This window comes from Homo sapiens, chromosome 16 (assembly GCF_000001405.40).
Source record: "Homo sapiens chromosome 16, GRCh38.p14 Primary Assembly".
NCBI lineage: Eukaryota > Metazoa > Chordata > Mammalia > Primates > Hominidae > Homo > Homo sapiens.
Window position 1 is genome coordinate 57,823,732 of NC_000016.10, and position 15,968 is coordinate 57,839,699.

The window sequence follows — 15,968 nt, forward strand, 5'->3', positions numbered from 1 at the left end:
ACAGGTGTGCACCACCACACCCGGCTACTTTGTGTGTGTGTGTGTGTGTGTGTGTGTGTGTGTGTGTGTGTGTTTTTAGTAGAGATGGTGTTTCACCACGTTGGCCAGGCTGGCCTCAAACTCCTGACCTCATGATCTGCCCGCCTGGGCCTTGCAAAGTGCTGGGATTACAGGTGTGAGCCACCACGCCCAGCCTAAACTACTAATACTTGAGGAATCTATAGAAAAATTGCGAGAATAAAGTCTGCAATTATGAAAGAAAAAAGAAAGAAAGAAATGCATGGTTCCTGCCCTTGCAGAGTCCTGTCAGGGAGAGCACGTCTTGCTGGTGGCAGGCTTCCAGGGAGGGTGATCAACCGTCCAGGTTTGCCTGGGGTTGTCCTGGTTTTGGCACTGAAAGTCCTGCATGCTGGAAAACTCCCAGGATGGTCAGTCAGCCTAATTGCAGGCAAGCTTTGTAGATGGAGATCTGGGTGCATAAGAACCTCTGTTGGTCCAGTGAGGCTCCCTGCCTTGGGGGAGCCACTGAGTCTGCACCACCAGCCAGAGGCAGGCTTGTAGTGGGTAGGCTGAGGGCAGACTGGACATCTCAGCCCACCCAGCAAGAGCTGGGCCAGTGGCTTTCTGGCAAAATGAGATGTTCACTGCAGAGAACAAGATTCCAAGTAGGGCTGGGTGCAGTGGCTCACACCTGTAATCCCAGCACTTTGGGAGGCCAAGGCAGGTGGATCACTTCAGGTCAGGAGTTCATAACCAGCCTGGGAAACATAATGAAACCCTGTCCCTACAAAAAATACAAAAATTAGCCAGGCGTGGTGGTGCATGCCTGTAGTTCAAGCTACTTGGGAGACTGAGATGGGAAGATTGCCTGAGCACAGGAGGCGGAGGTTGCAGTGAACCAAGATGGTGCCCCTGCACTCCACCCTGGATGACAGAGCAAGACGCTGTCTCAAAGAAAAACAAAAACAAAAACAGAAAAACAAAAGATTCCATGTAGCCCTTTGCCTGAAATCACTACTGAGGCCCTGTAGGTGCAATGAACAAGGTGGGGAGGCCAGCCCTGCACCCCCGGTACCTTTTTCTAAGGAATTTTTGTAAAGATGGGGTCTCGCTCTATTCCTAGGTTGGTCTCGATCTCCTGGCCTCAAGCGATCCTCCCATCTTGGCCTCCCAAAGTGCTGGGATGACCAATGTGAGCCAGCACCATTGGCACCTCTCAACCAGGCCCTCTCTCATCAAATAGTTAACCTGCCTCCCAAGCCTACTCAGATATCACTGCGGCCAGAACCAATGAGATGGATGGATGGATGTCAACAGGGCACTTCACAACAAAGGAATGTGGCCTACAGCACAACTCACCCCAGCCCAGCCCTCCTAGCAGGTAGATTGCCCAGCCCTTGGGCAATCCCAGGCTGCTCTGCAACACAGATGACCTCTTGAGGGACTTGCCTCCTGTTACCTGCTGAGCAGCGAGTCCCACACCTAAGTGAGGTGGAGGAGAGGCACCACCATCAGTCCTCATGAATCACTGGCCAGGCTCCTTCTCTTTGTCCCTCCCCAACAAATGCCAAGCATCTGCACTAAAGCAAGACTCTGGCTTGACCCCAGCCTCAAAGGGAAAATGGGGTTTGCACATGGACTTTCGGCTCCATTCATGAAAGCATAGATACGTGTGATTATAACAAGGATATGAGCTTGGATGCAGCAGGCTGTTAAACACCATGCCAGGAGGACGCCACTCCATTTAACCCCTGAGGCCACTGTGGGGCCAGCTGTGAGTCAGGCTTTGACCTTGGCCACCTTCCTAATTTAGAGTGGCAGCTGCCCACCCAAATTAGCTGCCCCACGTTCAGCCTCAGCTCTGCTGTTCAAATGCCTCTATCTACTTAGGTTCTTTGGAAAACAATTCTGAGGTTGTTTTCTTTTCTTTTTTGTTTTTTGTTTGTTTGTTTTTGTTTTGTTTTGAGGCAAGGTCTCACTCTGTCGCCCAGGCTGGAGTGCAGTGACATGATCTCAGCTCACTGCAGCCTTGACCTCCCAGTCTCAAACAATCTTTCCACCTCTCAGCCTCCTGAGTAGCTGGGGGAGTACAGGTGTGCACCACCATGACTGGCTAATTTTTTCCATTTTTGTAGAGAAAAGTTTTGCCATGTTGCTCAGGCTGGTCTCGAACTCCTGGACTCAAGCTATCAATCCACCCACCTTGGTCTCCCAAAGTGCTGGGATTACAGGCATGAGCCATTGCACCTGGCTTGTTTTCTTGTTTAACTGTTTTTAAGCCATATATGTTCAAACAGTGCAAACTATGGTGAAAAGTAAGTCTCCCTCTCACCCTTAACCTCCGTCCTCTGCCTCCCTCCTCTGAGGGAATCATTGCCACCAGTGGCTGGAGGGTCCTTCCCCAGAATAGTCCCCACATACAAGCCCACACCCCAAAATGCCCGCTTCCCCCACCATGGGAGTCCAGAGCACAGTTCACATGCTATCCTGTGCTTTGCTTTTCACACTTCACCCTGTTGGAAAGCTCTCCACGTCATGCATACACACTTGTCCTTCTATGGTTGTACTTTTTTCAAAGAGTGGACCCAACTGATTGAACCAGTTCCCTATTAACAGGTAATCGAGTTATTTCTAGTCTTTTGTGACCACCATACTTCCAAGAATGCCCTTATACCTAGATCTTTTATCTCATTAAAGGTGGTAGTGACTATTCCTAAAAGTGGAACTGCCAGTGTTTTTAAATGTTTAAATTTAAATTTAAACATTAAAAAATATTGGGTTAGGAACCACCACTCTTTTGAAAATTTCACGTAAAATACCAGTTCTTTCTCGAGAAACAAACAAAACAAAACAAAATAAACTATGTGATGATTTTGCATTCAGTTACTAGAGGGAGGCTCATAGATGGCACATTAAGAAGTCTTGGTAGAGAGGAAGAGAACAGGTGCAGGAAAATTGTATCCGACCCTCACTTCCCTGTGTGCATAAGTGTTTTGATTTGGTCATCACAGAGGAAGCTGACAGTTTGTTCTGCTGAGACACACAGTGGAGTTCAGTTCTGATTCCAAAAGTCAGATTCCTGATCATATTCTGCCACTAGAGTACATACCTCTCACCGTGGTCATACTCTGGACCTCGGACTCCCAGAATGTGGCTGCTGAGCAGAAGTGCGTCTGGGGCTGCTCCACACGGTGCTGCGCTGGGACACTGGGGCCTGCTGCAGACCCTCCCTGCAGCTGCTGCCTTGGGACTGTGAAACCAGAGTCTGCTAGGAAGGCTCTGCAACTCACACGCTCAGTTAGGCTTTAATATTTTATGCCAGCTGCCAATAAGGACTCAGGTGACAAGAGTCACTTCAGGAAAGGAGCGTGCAGAAAGCATGGACCCCGTCATCTCTCATTCAGGGTCCGCATCAGACTAAAGCGATCCCACAAGAGAAAAGCTAAAAGGAAGCAGAGCCGTGAACAGCCTGTGGCTGGTGGGAGCCTGGCGTCAGCGAGCTCAGGGTCTCACTTCAGTGACTTGGCAGCCAGTAGCTTCCCTTGGGCCATGGCCACAGGCCACATCTCAGTGTCTGGTTGGCTCTACGTCCAAGGCCACTGCCGGCTGCAGAGACGTGGTGAGGGCTGAGGCCAGACAGCTGAGGGCCCTGGCTGACCTGCTGGCCCATTCACCTGAACAAGGTTCACCCAGGGCAGTTTCCACAAATCCGGAGCAGAGCCAGAGAGCCAGCCCATGCCTGGCACAGAGGAGACGCTCAACACCTGTCATCCCTTCCCTTCTCCTGCCTGTCCCTCAGAGTTCCTGGAGCTTCCGTTCTGCTGAGCCTCATGCTGCCCATGCGACACATCACGACCATTTTCAGGACCACAACCTCCCTGTCCCATGGCCGTTTTCTGAGGTCTAGAAGTCACCCCCTTGGGCTTAAGCAACCACGAGGCCATGGATGGTCACAAATTTCCCTGGGCTGCACTCCACAAACCCTCCAGTGGGCACAGCACGTGTCTCTCACATTTTGGAGAGAAAGGAACTGAGAACTCCCATTTCTGGAACCCCATGCCAGTTCTAGAAGGTTCCATCCTGAAGATGAAAGCTGATTTGTCATCTGTGGTGTGTCCCAAGAAAAGAAAAATACCTCATTTTGTACTGAGCACTAACTACACACCAGGTGCCTATTGAAGCCTCTGAGGTATGTTCACTTACTTATTTCTCCCAACAACCCCTTGAGGGAAGTTCTATTGTTGTACCCTCTTTTCAGGTGAAGAAACTGAGGCACAGAAAGGTGAAGTGCTTCCCCAAAGTCATGCCACCAGTAAGGAGCAGGCTGGGATTTGTAACCCAGGCAGCCTGCCACGTGGCCCCTGGCCCTCTTGGAGGCTCTTCCCTGAGCAGCCTCCAGAGGAGAGAATGGAAGAAGCCACTCTGCGCTCCTCCTCCTCCTCTCCTTCCTCATCATGAGGGAGCCCCTGCCTGTACAAGTGCTTTACCTGCATCATCTAATGTCACCTTTGCAAATGCCCTGTGAGGTAGGAAGCGTGCTTAGGTCCCTTTCTCAGGTGAGGATGCCAACGTGAGGCCACCTGCCCGGTAAGGCAATGGTAGACCGGGACTCGGCCCAAGGCTGTGCCGCCATTGAAACCCAGGCCCTCTCTGGGTGCTGCACATGGAGGCCTGTGTGCAGATGTGGCCATGAGGAAATGGTGTGAGTGGCAAAAAGGCCAAGAAGCCAACGTGGGTGGCGGGAGGGAGAGCTTGCCAAGGAGAGCTGCTTGTCATCATCTACCTGAGGGTGGCACCTCAGAAGACAGCCTGGGTGGGGCCCCGCGGCATTGGACCAGGGTCCCAGCCTGGGTTCTTGTCCCAGCTCTACCCTGATGGATCCCGTCTCTGGCAGACCTGGGCAGAGGAAAGGCCCTGAGGACCCTTCAGGCCCTAATGCTTTATGATGCTGGAGCAGGAAGCAGGGCTGACAGCAGAAACCTTGGCCCCTAGTGGCCTTTTAGTTAAGTGCCTGAGTAACAGCCCACTCCCTACAGGAGGCACTCAGCCCCTCTCCACTACAAGCCCAGCCCCCTCCACGCACAAGCCCCTCACCCCCCAGCAGAAGGTAGTGTAGATAGCTTTACTGATTGAGCCCTAACTAGATACTAACAGCCACAAAGCTGCCTCTCTGCTAGTCACTTGCTACGGATTAAAACAGATGCTGTTGCTATACCCATTTTACAGATGAGAAAACTGAGGCCCAAAAAGTCAGTCAGCTCACTCAAGGTCACCACAGACCCAAACACTAGGCCAACTTCCCCAGTAGGTACAATAGGCACAGTGATTACAGACCATAATACTTTTAAGGACCCATAAAAACGTTTTAATTTCACTTAAAATCAGAAGGGGAAAAAATGAACTTTTAGGGCAAAGATAATGATTTCATATATAAAATTAACATATTCACCTTTATACCAATATAGCAGGAAAATCTATTTTTATTTTTTATTTTAGTTTTTAAAATTAAGAATAACCTTTGTTTGTTTGTTTGTTTTTTGGAGACAGGGTCTCACTCTGTTGCCCAGGCTGGAGTGCAGTGGCACAATCAGAGCTCACTGCAGCCTCGACCTCCTGGGCTCAAGCAATCCTCCCACCTCAGTTCCCTGAGTAGCTGAAACCACAGGCGTGTGCCACCATATCTAGCTAATTTTTAAAAGATGTAGTAGAGATGAGGTCTTGCTATGTTGCCCAGGCTGGTCTTGAACTCCTGGGCTCCAGTGATCCTTCTGCCTCAGCCTCCCAAAGTGCTGGGATTACAGGCGTGAGCCACCATGCCTGGCCAAAAATCTATTTTTTAAATGTTCTTTTTAGCGGCAAAACAAACTCACCAAGGCAAAAGTACCTAGGGCTCAGGAAAGTCACCATGCAGCCCTGAATAGGTAGACCTTGAACTCAGATCTGTTTCCCTCCCAGGGTCATGTCCATCAAAGAATCCTCCAGCCTCTTCCCCAGTATCAAAGCAACCACTCAGGGTAATCTCACGGAGCTGCAGAGTTGACGTCTGTCCTTGGAAGGGTCATGGCCAGACGGCCACTCAGCCACAGGCATTTGCCCAGCTGGCCACAATCCCTGTGGGCAAGTGTCCCAGGCTCAATTTTTGGCCTTCCAAGAAGCCATTGGAGCAGAGGAGCTACATTTCTGGGGCCAAGTCATTCATAAGAGAAGAGGAACAAGGCAAGCCGGGAAACATGCTTGCCCCTCAACTGGGAGAGGCAAGAGAAGATGACCAAGATCATCCAAAAGAACATTCCAGCTTTTCTTCTTTGCCTGAAAGAAAACAATTGACAGCCTCTACCAGGGAATTATGTCCTCGAAAGGCCAGGTATAGCCCAGGAGGACAGAGAGCACTGGCTTTGGTGACAGGCAGATCTGGGTTTGGGTCCCCACTCAGCCATTTAATTTGCTGTGTGACCTTGAAAAAGTGACCTTACCTCTCTGACTGTTTTCCTTTCTTTTTTCTTTCTTTTTTTTTTTTTTTTTTTGAGATGGAGTCTTACACTGTTGCCCAAGCTGGAGTGCAATGGTGTAATCTCGGCTCTCTGCAGCCTCCCCCTCCCGGGTTCCAGCAATTCTCCTGCCTCAGCCTCTAGAGTAGCTGAGATTACAGGCACCCGCCACCACGCCCGGCTAATTTTTTGTATTTTTAGTAGATACAGGGTTTCACTATGTTGGCCAGGCTGGTCTCGAACTCCGGACCTCATGATCCACCCACCTCAGCCTCCCAAAGTGCTGAGATTACAGGCATGAGCCACCACACCCGGCAAAAATATGGAACGCTTCACGAATTTGCATGTCATCCTTGTGCAGGGGCCATGCTAATCTTCTCTGTATCGTTCCAATTTTAGTATATGTACTGCCAAAGCGAGCACTGTTTTCCTTTCTGTAAACTGGGAATAATAGCAATGCCCTTCCCCCAAAGGATGGTAGTGAGAATTGGCTGAAATAAAATGCTTTCTTCTATAGTAAAGCAGTTGCAAGGAGTAAAAGCCAGAAGAATATTTATTCATTGGTTTGAGAAACAAAATCATTGATGCCAACATTCCCGGGGCCTTGAGTAATTATGCCATGGGCTTGCCTGAAACACTGATAAATTTAGAGAAGCCACCAAAGCCACAGTAACTGAGGCCACACTATGAGGTCAGCCTCTTTTTCCCCCCAGGTCTTTGAGGTGACAGTTTAGACAGGAGGTAGGAATCTTGCTAATGAAAGGAGAGCCTCACCTTCAATTAAGGCGTCACCAGAGTGGGAAATTCATCAGCCCTGGTGATGGTGACTTACGCCACACTTGAGCCTTGCAAGTCCAGGATGACACAACCCAAGGCAGAAACCATGAAATTAGAACAAAGGTCTAAGTAATAAGCAGACCTGGGAGTTCCATTCAGGTGAGCAGGGCTGTTGCTCAGCAGGTGAGCCTGCCCCGCCATGGAGACTCAGCGCTAGAGTGAGAACCACATCTGCTCACACCAGGGGCCTGAACCCTGCTAACCCCACGGGGGGTTCTCACAGCCAAAAGCTCTTGTGACTCTTCCAATAATAGCAACTCCCACCCAGCGCCTTCTCTCCAAGAGCAGTGCTTCTCAAACCGCACTGTGCACATGAATCAGCTGGGATGTTATTAGAACGCATCTTAAGGCAGCGGCTCATGCCTGTAATACCAACATTTTAGGAGGCCAAGGCGGGAGGATCACTTGAGGCTAGGAGTTTGAGACCAACCTGGGTGATGTGGGCACAAGACCCCGGTCTCTATACAAAAATACTGTTTTTTAATTAGCCAGGCATGGTGGTGTGTGCCTGTAGTCCCAGCTACTCAGGAGGCTGAAGCAGGAGGATCACTTGAACCCAGGAGGTCCAGGCTACTGTGAGCTATGATCATACCACTGCACTCCAACCTCGGCAACAGGAAAAAAAGAAAAGAAAAGAAAGAAATACAGCTTAAGCTTTAGTGGGTCTTGAGATTCCACATGTCTGACAAGCTCTCCGTGGATACAGCTGGTGAACAATGAGGGCCTAGACTTTCCTTGGGCCCCACAGACACCTTGGGTTGCCCTTCACCAGGTAGACCTGGGAACCCTGATCAGTTTGTACTCCAAGATTTAGGATTCAAGCAACTAACAGCACAACTATAAACTGGATCCCTCATGATTTCTTTGGGGGTTGAGGGGAAAGGGATAGGATACAAAATGAATTAAACATAAACATTTGTGGCAGGATAATTTATTGCAAGGTGAATTTTTTGTTTTGTTTTGTTTTGTTTTTGTTTTTTTTAAGACAGAGTCTCGTTCTGTCACCCAGCCTGGAGTACAGTGGCGCAATCTTGGCTCACTGCAACATCCACCTCCTGGGTTCAAGCCATTCTCTTGCCTCAGCCTCCCAAGTAGCTGGGACTACAGGAATGCACCACCATGCCCGTCTAATTTTTGTATTTTTGGTAGAGACGGGGTTTCACCATGTTGTCCAGGCTGGACTCGAACTCCTGAACTCAGGTGATCCTCCTGCCTTGGCCTCCCAGAGTGCTGGGATTACAGCCATGAGCCACGGCGCCAGGCCCTTTTTTTTTTTTTTTTTTTTTTTTTTTTTAGACAAAGTCTCGCCCAAGCTAGAACGCATCAGCGCAATCTTGGCTCACTGCAATCTCTACCTCCCAGGTTCAAGTGATTCTCCTGCCTGAGCCTCCCAAGTAGCTGGGATGTGCCATCATACCCGGCTAATTTTTGTATTTTTAGTAAGGACAAGGTTTCACCATGTTGGCTAGGCTGGTCTAGAACTCCTAACCTCAGGTGATCCACCCACCTTGGCTTCCCAAAGTGCTAAGATTATAGACGTGAGCCACCGCGCCTGGCCGCAAGGTGAATTTTTTTTCTCCCAGCATACTGCCCTTTCCCCAACACACACACACCCTTTTCAGGTAGCAAGACCCTTTGATGCCTTCTTGCCACAGAGATTTTTAAATTTCAACTAATTTCAGAAGTCAGGCACTTTCCTTTAAAAACGGAGGGCTCCGGGTAAAGTCCATCCTCTCCCATCACCCCTACTCCTCACTCACAGCTTCAGACATCCCTACGGATATTTAGGCAAAGGTATTTTAAAAGAGAGATGTTTGCAGGATCATGTTGGACTGGCTCTTCCTTTCTTTTATTAAAAATATATAAGCCGGCCAGGCTCGGTGGCTCATACCTGTAATCCCAGCACTTTGGGAGGCTGAAGCAGGTGGATCACCTGAGGTCAGGAGTTCAAGACCATCCTGGCCAACATGGAAACCCCATCTCTACTAAAAATACACAAATTAGCCAGGTGTGGTGGCAGGTGCCTGTAATCCCAGCTACTCCGGAGTCTAAGGCAGAAGAATCGCTTGAACCTGGGAGGTAGAGGTTGCAGTGAGCCGAGATCACACGACTGCATTGCAGCCTGGGTGGCAAAGCAACACTCTGTCTCAAATATATATATATATATATGCCCAGGATGCCAGGAGGGCAGAGGGGACAGTGGCTACCGTTTCCTATCTTGTATAAGATGTAGTTGCAGGGTGGAGGTAAATAGTGATGGCACCAAAGGGAAGCTTGGGGGCCTTCAGTCTCCCCATTAACTTCACCAGGACCCCTTCCCCTAATCCCTGAACACAGCTAACCACAACACTCTTCAGATGTGGATCTCAGCACCCAAGGGGAGATTCCCTCCCACAGGAATGAGCCCTGCACTGGGGAGCAGAGGTGTGCTCTCCATTGAGGCATCTGGGCAGGGCTGAGCTCAGAAGGTCTTCCGGCTGCACCCAGGCTCCTGTCCCAAGCACACTCTTCCTGGAAGCAGCCCCCACAGACTCCCAGGACCCAGAGATCGGGACTCCCATGGTGTCAGTATCAGAGACTATGGCATGGAAATGCAGGGCCCCTACTCCCGACTTTGGGTGAGTTTCCCATCGTGGTGATGTGACACCTGGGAGGGGGAGGGACCCTAAAATTACTGAAGAGGAATTTATGGCCACCTGTCTCTAAGGGAGCTTGGGGTCAGACCTAGGGAGTATCAGTAGCATTTTAAAAAGTGGTATCATACCTCCTGCATACACTTAATGATATTCAATATTTAGGAATGCAGTTGCTTTTTTTTTTTTTTTTTTTTGAGTCTGAGTCTTGCTCTGTCACCAGGCTGGAGTGCAATGGCATGATCTAGGCTCAAGTTCTGCCTCCCGGGTTCAAGCAATTCTCCTGCCTCAGCCTCCTGAGTAGCTGGGATTACAGGCGCGTGCCACCACGCCCGGCTACTTTTTTGTATTTTTAGTAGAGACAGGGTTTCACCGTGTTAGCCAGGATGGTCTCTACCTCCTGACCTCATGATCTGCCCGCTCGGCCTCCCAAAGTGCTGGGATTACAGGCGTGAGCCACCGCGCCCCGGGAATGCATTTATTTTTAAAGTAATATACATACTATAGCTTAGCAACACATTATCAAATAAATTATTTGATGAAAAATTGCAAAAGTTACCATCTGTGAAAATAATCTCCCAGTATTGTTTCTTAGTGGACCTCTCCTGGTCTTAACTATTCTAGGCTGGGAAACATTGGTTTGTCCCTGAGCAAACTGCACTCCCTGACATTTTTTGAACATTAAAAAAATTATCACAAAAGTTTTACACATTATACAATTCATTAATTATTCAGTAAACTCTTCACCTTGATCCTTTTTTCAAAGTGTTAAAATTCTGAAGTCTCTGTAAAATAAAAATACCTTTAAATTTTTATTTATTTATTATTTTATTATTTTTAGAGACAGGTTCTCGCTCTGTTGCCCAGGCTGCAGTGCAGTGGTACCATTATGGCTCACTGTAGCCTCAACCCCCTGGACTCAAGCAATCCTCCCACCTCAGCCTCCTGAATAGCTAGGATTATAGGCACACGTCACAAGTCCAGCTAATTTTTTTATTTTTTATTTTTGTAGAGACCGGGTCTCACTATATTGGCCAGGTTGGTCTTAAACTCCTGACCTCAAGCAATCCCCTTGCCTCAGCCTCCCAAAGTGTTGGGATTACAGGCATGAGCCACTGTGCCCTGCAAAAATACCTTTAGGTGCCATTTGATTGAGTGTTACCTATTGGTGTCTCTACTGCATGCAACTCTGCAGAGGAAGCAATTCATGAGCTATGCTCAAACCTTTGTCATCACTGCTGCCAATAGCTTTTCCCAAGGAGGTAGATCTGAGAAACAGAGGGAGATCCTTGGACATGGTGGTAAAATTCAGGAGGAAAAAAAATGCAACAGAAAAGCTGCTTTCTTGTGCTTTCCTCTTTGCTAAGACTGGCTCCCTGCAGGCCCCTCCTTCTGTGAGTAAGAACGGAGGCGGGTTCTCTCTTTTGTTCTAGGTACAGTCATGGGAGAGATGCTGCCTCTTCCCCAAAGGCACAATAGCACCGATATTTGAAGAGTCAGTGATAGACGATTTCATCAGAAGGTTCTGGCAACAGAAACTACCAAACGACTTATTTTAAAAACAAAACAAAATGGAAAATATTAAAATCCAATCAGCTCATTGATCACCAGGGAGAAAGAAAATGAACATGTGTCTCTTGTACTCAGCCTGCTCTAAAATATGAAACTGGAATGTGTTTCAGAAAGCAACAAAGATGTGAGTATGGAATATTAAAGCACTATGATAATTTGATAGTACAATTTTCCTTTGTGGATTTCCTGTAGTGACCAATATTAATATAATAGGAGTGAACATCTACTGGGTACTTATTACATATTAGCATTTTCTATGGTATTTTATTAGGTTACAGAACAACCCAATGAGGAAAGTACTACTCTTGTCAGCCCTGTTTCATAGACTAGGAACAGAGGAACCGTGATTCACCCAAAGTTTTGAGTGATTCACCCAAAGTTTTGTGGCTAATAAAACTCCATTCCAGCCCAGGCGCAGTGGCTCATGCCTGTAATCCCAACACTTCGGGAGGCCGAGGCAGGCAGATCACTTGAGGTCAGGAGTTCAAGACCAGCCTGGCCAACATGGAGAAACCCTGTCTCTACTAAAAACATAAAAATTAGCCAGATATGGTGGCATGTGCCTGTAACCCTAGCTACTCAGGAGGCTAAGGCGTGAAAATGGCTTGAACCCAGGAGGCAGAGGTTGCAGTAAGCTGAGATTGTGCCACTGCACTCTAGCCTAGATGACAGAGTGAGACTACATCTCAGAAACAAAAAACAAACAAAAACTCCATTCCAGCCTGGGCGCCTCTCTCCAGGCCCTCACTTCCAACCCAGAACACACTAGATTCCAGAGGGAAACCCAGTCGCCAGCCTGAAGCTGGCATTCAGGTTGCCCTTCTCAGGGAACTCAAAGGGTGACGCAGGAATTTTCTCTGTTTTGCTTGTTTTGAGTCAGGGCCTCTGTCGCCCAGGCCAGAATGCAGTAGCAAGATCATGGGCTCACTGCAGCCTTGACCTTCCTGGGGTCTAGCGATCCTTCCACCTCAGGCTCCCAAATAGGTGGGACTACAGGCATTCCACTACACCCGGCTAATTTTTGTATTTTTGGTAGAAACAGGATTTCACCATGTTGCCCAGTCTGGTCTTGAACTCCTGGGCTCAAGAGATCCTCCCACCTCAGCCTCCCACAGTGCTGGCATTACAGGTTTGAGCCACTGTGCCTGGCCAGTGCAGGCATTTTCTCCTTGGCCCTTATCAGCTTGGTGGAGCTAAGAGCATTATTTTCTCCTGATGAAGAGCTAAGCCTCTGGGCAGAAGTTGAGCAGCCCAGGCAAGGTCAAGAAGGGAATGAATGGTAGACTTTCTGGTCTCAGGCTGCAAATTCCTTCTGTCTAATCGAACTACCCCAAAAGGCACAAAAAGAAAACAAAAATGTACCCTCTTGCTCCAAAACCATTCTCCTGGCTTTCTCAGCCCTTTATGGGACATCTCAGCCCTTTATGTATTTTTGTTCTTATTTTTTTGAGACAGGGTCTTGCTCTGTTGCGCAGGCTGGTGTATAGTGGTGCCATCATAGCTCACTGCAGCCTCGAAGTCCTGGGCTCATACAATCCTCCCACCTCAGCCTCCTGAGTAGCTGAGACTACAGGCACACACCATCATAAGCTGCTAATTTTTAAAATTTTTTTGTAGAGATAGGGTCTTGTGGTATAGCCCAGGCTGGTCTCAAACTCCTGGTATAAAGTGATACTTCTGCTTTGGTCTCCCAAAGTGTTGAGATTACAGGTGTAAGCCACTGTACCTTGCCTCATCTCAGTCCTTTAAAGATGCACCGGAGGCTCTGCTAGTCATTAGAAACCAGTGCATATAGTGTGTGTGTGTTTGTTTATGTGTGTGTATGTGTTTTGTAAGGGTGACAGAGTTGGCGAGTGAGGGCAACAACCAAGGAATTCAATCAACTCAATAGAGAAAAACATTACATCACTGACAATGTAGCAGCAGGGCCAGGTGGTGGCTCTTGCCTATAATCCCAGCACATTGGGAGGCCGAGACGGGTGGATTGCTTGAGCCTAGGAGTTTGAGACCAGTCTGGGCAACATGGCGAAACCCCGTCTCTACTAAAAACACAGAAATTAGCCAGGCATGGTGGTGCAAGCCTATAATCCCAGCTATTCAGGAGGCTGAGGCAGGAGAATTGCTTGAACCTGGAAGGCAGAGGTTGCAGTGAGCCAAGATCATGCCACTACACTCCAACATAGGTGACAGAGTGAGACTCAGTCAAAAAAGAAAGAAAGAAAGAGAGAGAAAGACGGAAGGAAGGAGAAAGAAAGAAAGAAAAGAGAAAGAAAGAAAGAGAAAGGAAGGAAGGAAGAAAGAAAGAAAGAAAGAAAGAAAGAGTAGCAGTAAACATGAGACTAGTTGCCATAGCAACCATTTAATTGACATTTTCATTTTCCCAGCATTTGTTCTGGGCAGGTGTGGGCAGACATGTGTCCTCAGGGATGTGCAAGGATGAGGGTGTGTCTGTTTCCCCCATTAGTCTTCATAATTGAAGGGGTTGGTACTGCTCCTAGACAAGGCCTTGGGAATCGGGACTTTAACAGTGCACAGAAAACCCCGTCTGAGAACATCCACAGCAGGCAGAGCCAACCTCACCGTGTAAAGGCAGTGGAGGTGATGGTGAACTTGCTTGCTGCGTGGATGGGATGCTGAGGCTCAAGTGGAGGGCCATACAGATTGGCCTTGGCAGAGCGCAGCCCAGACCCAGGTCCGCTAACTCCTGGTGGGCCACACTGGCTTGAAGCCACACTGGCTTGCTGAACCAGGGTCAAGTAGCCGGGGTTAGGGGAAAAAATATAAGACGAGGAAGAAGCATAGCACAGCTTAAATCCATCGAGAGTGCAGAATCACCTTTCATCTTCTGAAGGAGCAATTGTTTTCTGTACCAAACCACACAATGCAAGCAAATCTGCTGCCAAAGAACAAAGAGAAAAATGCAGGGAACAAGCAGCTTCCCAAGCCTCGCAGCCGGGGATGGAATTAAATTCAAATTCACCTGCAAGAGCAGCTGATGGTTCAGCTACAAACCGCCTCCAAGCAGCCTCTGAGATTCAAAATTCATGCGCCCTGCGAACTACACAGCATATACTAGTGGCAGCCCTGGCTGGGTCCTCGCAGCCACGCAATTTTTGAGGATGACACACATGGAATACTAAACATATCCCGGGAGTTCCAGACACAGCCACCTAGTTACAGCCCAGCCTGCTCTTGTCTGCAGCAATTTTTCTCAAAGGTGCGGCTTCATGCATATCTATTACCAAGCACACGTAGACAAGACGGTGTTCGGAAAGCACAGCCCCGAGTGGGAAACAGGAGCTGTCAGCAAATCATTTTCACAGGAACAGGAAAATCTTTACGTGGAAAATATTGCTTTGGGACTTCCCCGGGAGGAAAGAACGAGCTGAAATTGATGGTGTTGCAGCTTCCATTTTCCAAAAAGCAAAATGCTTTTAAGACCATCAGGGTTACGCTTGATCATAGCTTTGCTTAATCCATTTCTTCACGGGTTTTGCCCTTGTCATCTTTGCTTCCTGAACCACTCCTGCACCTTACAGTCACCGCAAATCCCATCCCATAAAAATCTGTGGCGTCTCTGTGTGTGGAAATCAAACAACAAAAAGGCACCGCCATGTGTAGCTGCGTTACGCTTTCGGTGGAAAGATGACATGGATGAAATGGCCCCTGGGAAACACTGGGGAGGCCTGACTAGCAAGGTGCAGAGTGGGGGATTAATGGGGAGATACACAGGGCCTCTTACTAAAACTGAGAATAGCATTCTGTTGAAGAACCCTTATTTTGAGGCTGGGCACAGTGGCTCACGCCTGTAACATCAGCACTTGGGGAGGCCGAAGTGGGAGGATTACTTGAGGCCAGGAGGTCAAGGCTGCAGTGAGTTATGATCAAGCCACTGCACTTCAGCCTGAGTGACAGAGGGAGACCCTGTCTCTAAAAAAATTAAAAAGAAACCATATTTGGGGTGATGATATCCATCCCCTAAAATAATAAAGATTAGCTGGGCACAGTGACTCAAGCTTGTAATCCCAGCACTTTGGGGAGGCCAAGGCGGGAGGATCCCTTGAGCTCAGGAGTTCAAGACTAGCCTGGGCAACATGGGGAGACCCCATCTCTACAAAAAGGAAAAAAAAATTCCAGGCATGGTGGTGCACACCTGTGGTCCCAGCTACTTGGGAGGCTAAAGTGGGAGGATCACTTGGGATTGGGAGGTGGAGGCTACGGTGAGCCATGATCATCCCACTGCACTCCAGCCTCGGTGACAGAGCAAGACCATGTCTCAATAATGATAATAATAATAAAAAGATTATTTATAAATGTCTCTGTAACTGAAACACCCCCTCAAAAAAATCCTGTAAATTGGAGACCTTACCTATCATCGTTCCCTTCATTTTATTTTAAATTTCATTGAAATTTATCCTAAAGCACTTCCTGTGACTTG

The 15,968-nt window shown here is 48.3% G+C and overlaps 1 protein-coding gene and 1 pseudogene across 8 annotated transcripts in view, besides 5 other annotated features; both read right to left on the reverse strand.

Moving 5' to 3' along the window:
* KIFC3 (kinesin family member C3) overlaps positions 1-15,968 on the reverse strand; it is a 104,642-nt gene that overhangs the window by 65,515 nt on the left and 23,159 nt on the right. The gene's annotated exons all lie outside the window — the stretch shown is intronic.
* Positions 1,120-1,621: an enhancer, noted in NCBI's record as "H3K27ac hESC enhancer chr16:57858755-57859256 (GRCh37/hg19 assembly coordinates)". NCBI's record gives its function as "activates a minimal SCP1, AML or CMV promoter by ChIP-STARR-seq in primed H9 embryonic stem cells {active_cell/tissue: H9 hESC(primed)}" and the evidence as "EXISTENCE:reporter gene assay evidence [ECO:0000049][PMID:30033119]".
* Positions 1,622-2,121: an enhancer, noted in NCBI's record as "H3K27ac hESC enhancer chr16:57859257-57859756 (GRCh37/hg19 assembly coordinates)". NCBI's record gives its function as "activates a minimal SCP1, AML or CMV promoter by ChIP-STARR-seq in primed H9 embryonic stem cells {active_cell/tissue: H9 hESC(primed)}" and the evidence as "EXISTENCE:reporter gene assay evidence [ECO:0000049][PMID:30033119]".
* RNU6-20P (RNA, U6 small nuclear 20, pseudogene) lies at positions 6,806-6,911 on the reverse strand (annotated as a pseudogene).
* Positions 11,832-12,333: an enhancer, noted in NCBI's record as "H3K27ac hESC enhancer chr16:57869467-57869968 (GRCh37/hg19 assembly coordinates)". NCBI's record gives its function as "activates a minimal SCP1, AML or CMV promoter by ChIP-STARR-seq in naive and primed H9 embryonic stem cells {active_cell/tissue: H9 hESC(naive and primed)}" and the evidence as "EXISTENCE:reporter gene assay evidence [ECO:0000049][PMID:30033119]".
* Positions 12,334-12,833: an enhancer, noted in NCBI's record as "H3K27ac hESC enhancer chr16:57869969-57870468 (GRCh37/hg19 assembly coordinates)". NCBI's record gives its function as "activates a minimal SCP1, AML or CMV promoter by ChIP-STARR-seq in naive H9 embryonic stem cells {active_cell/tissue: H9 hESC(naive)}" and the evidence as "EXISTENCE:reporter gene assay evidence [ECO:0000049][PMID:30033119]".
* Positions 13,649-14,385: an enhancer, noted in NCBI's record as "H3K27ac-H3K4me1 hESC enhancer chr16:57871284-57872020 (GRCh37/hg19 assembly coordinates)". NCBI's record gives its function as "activates a minimal SCP1, AML or CMV promoter by ChIP-STARR-seq in primed H9 embryonic stem cells {active_cell/tissue: H9 hESC(primed)}" and the evidence as "EXISTENCE:reporter gene assay evidence [ECO:0000049][PMID:30033119]".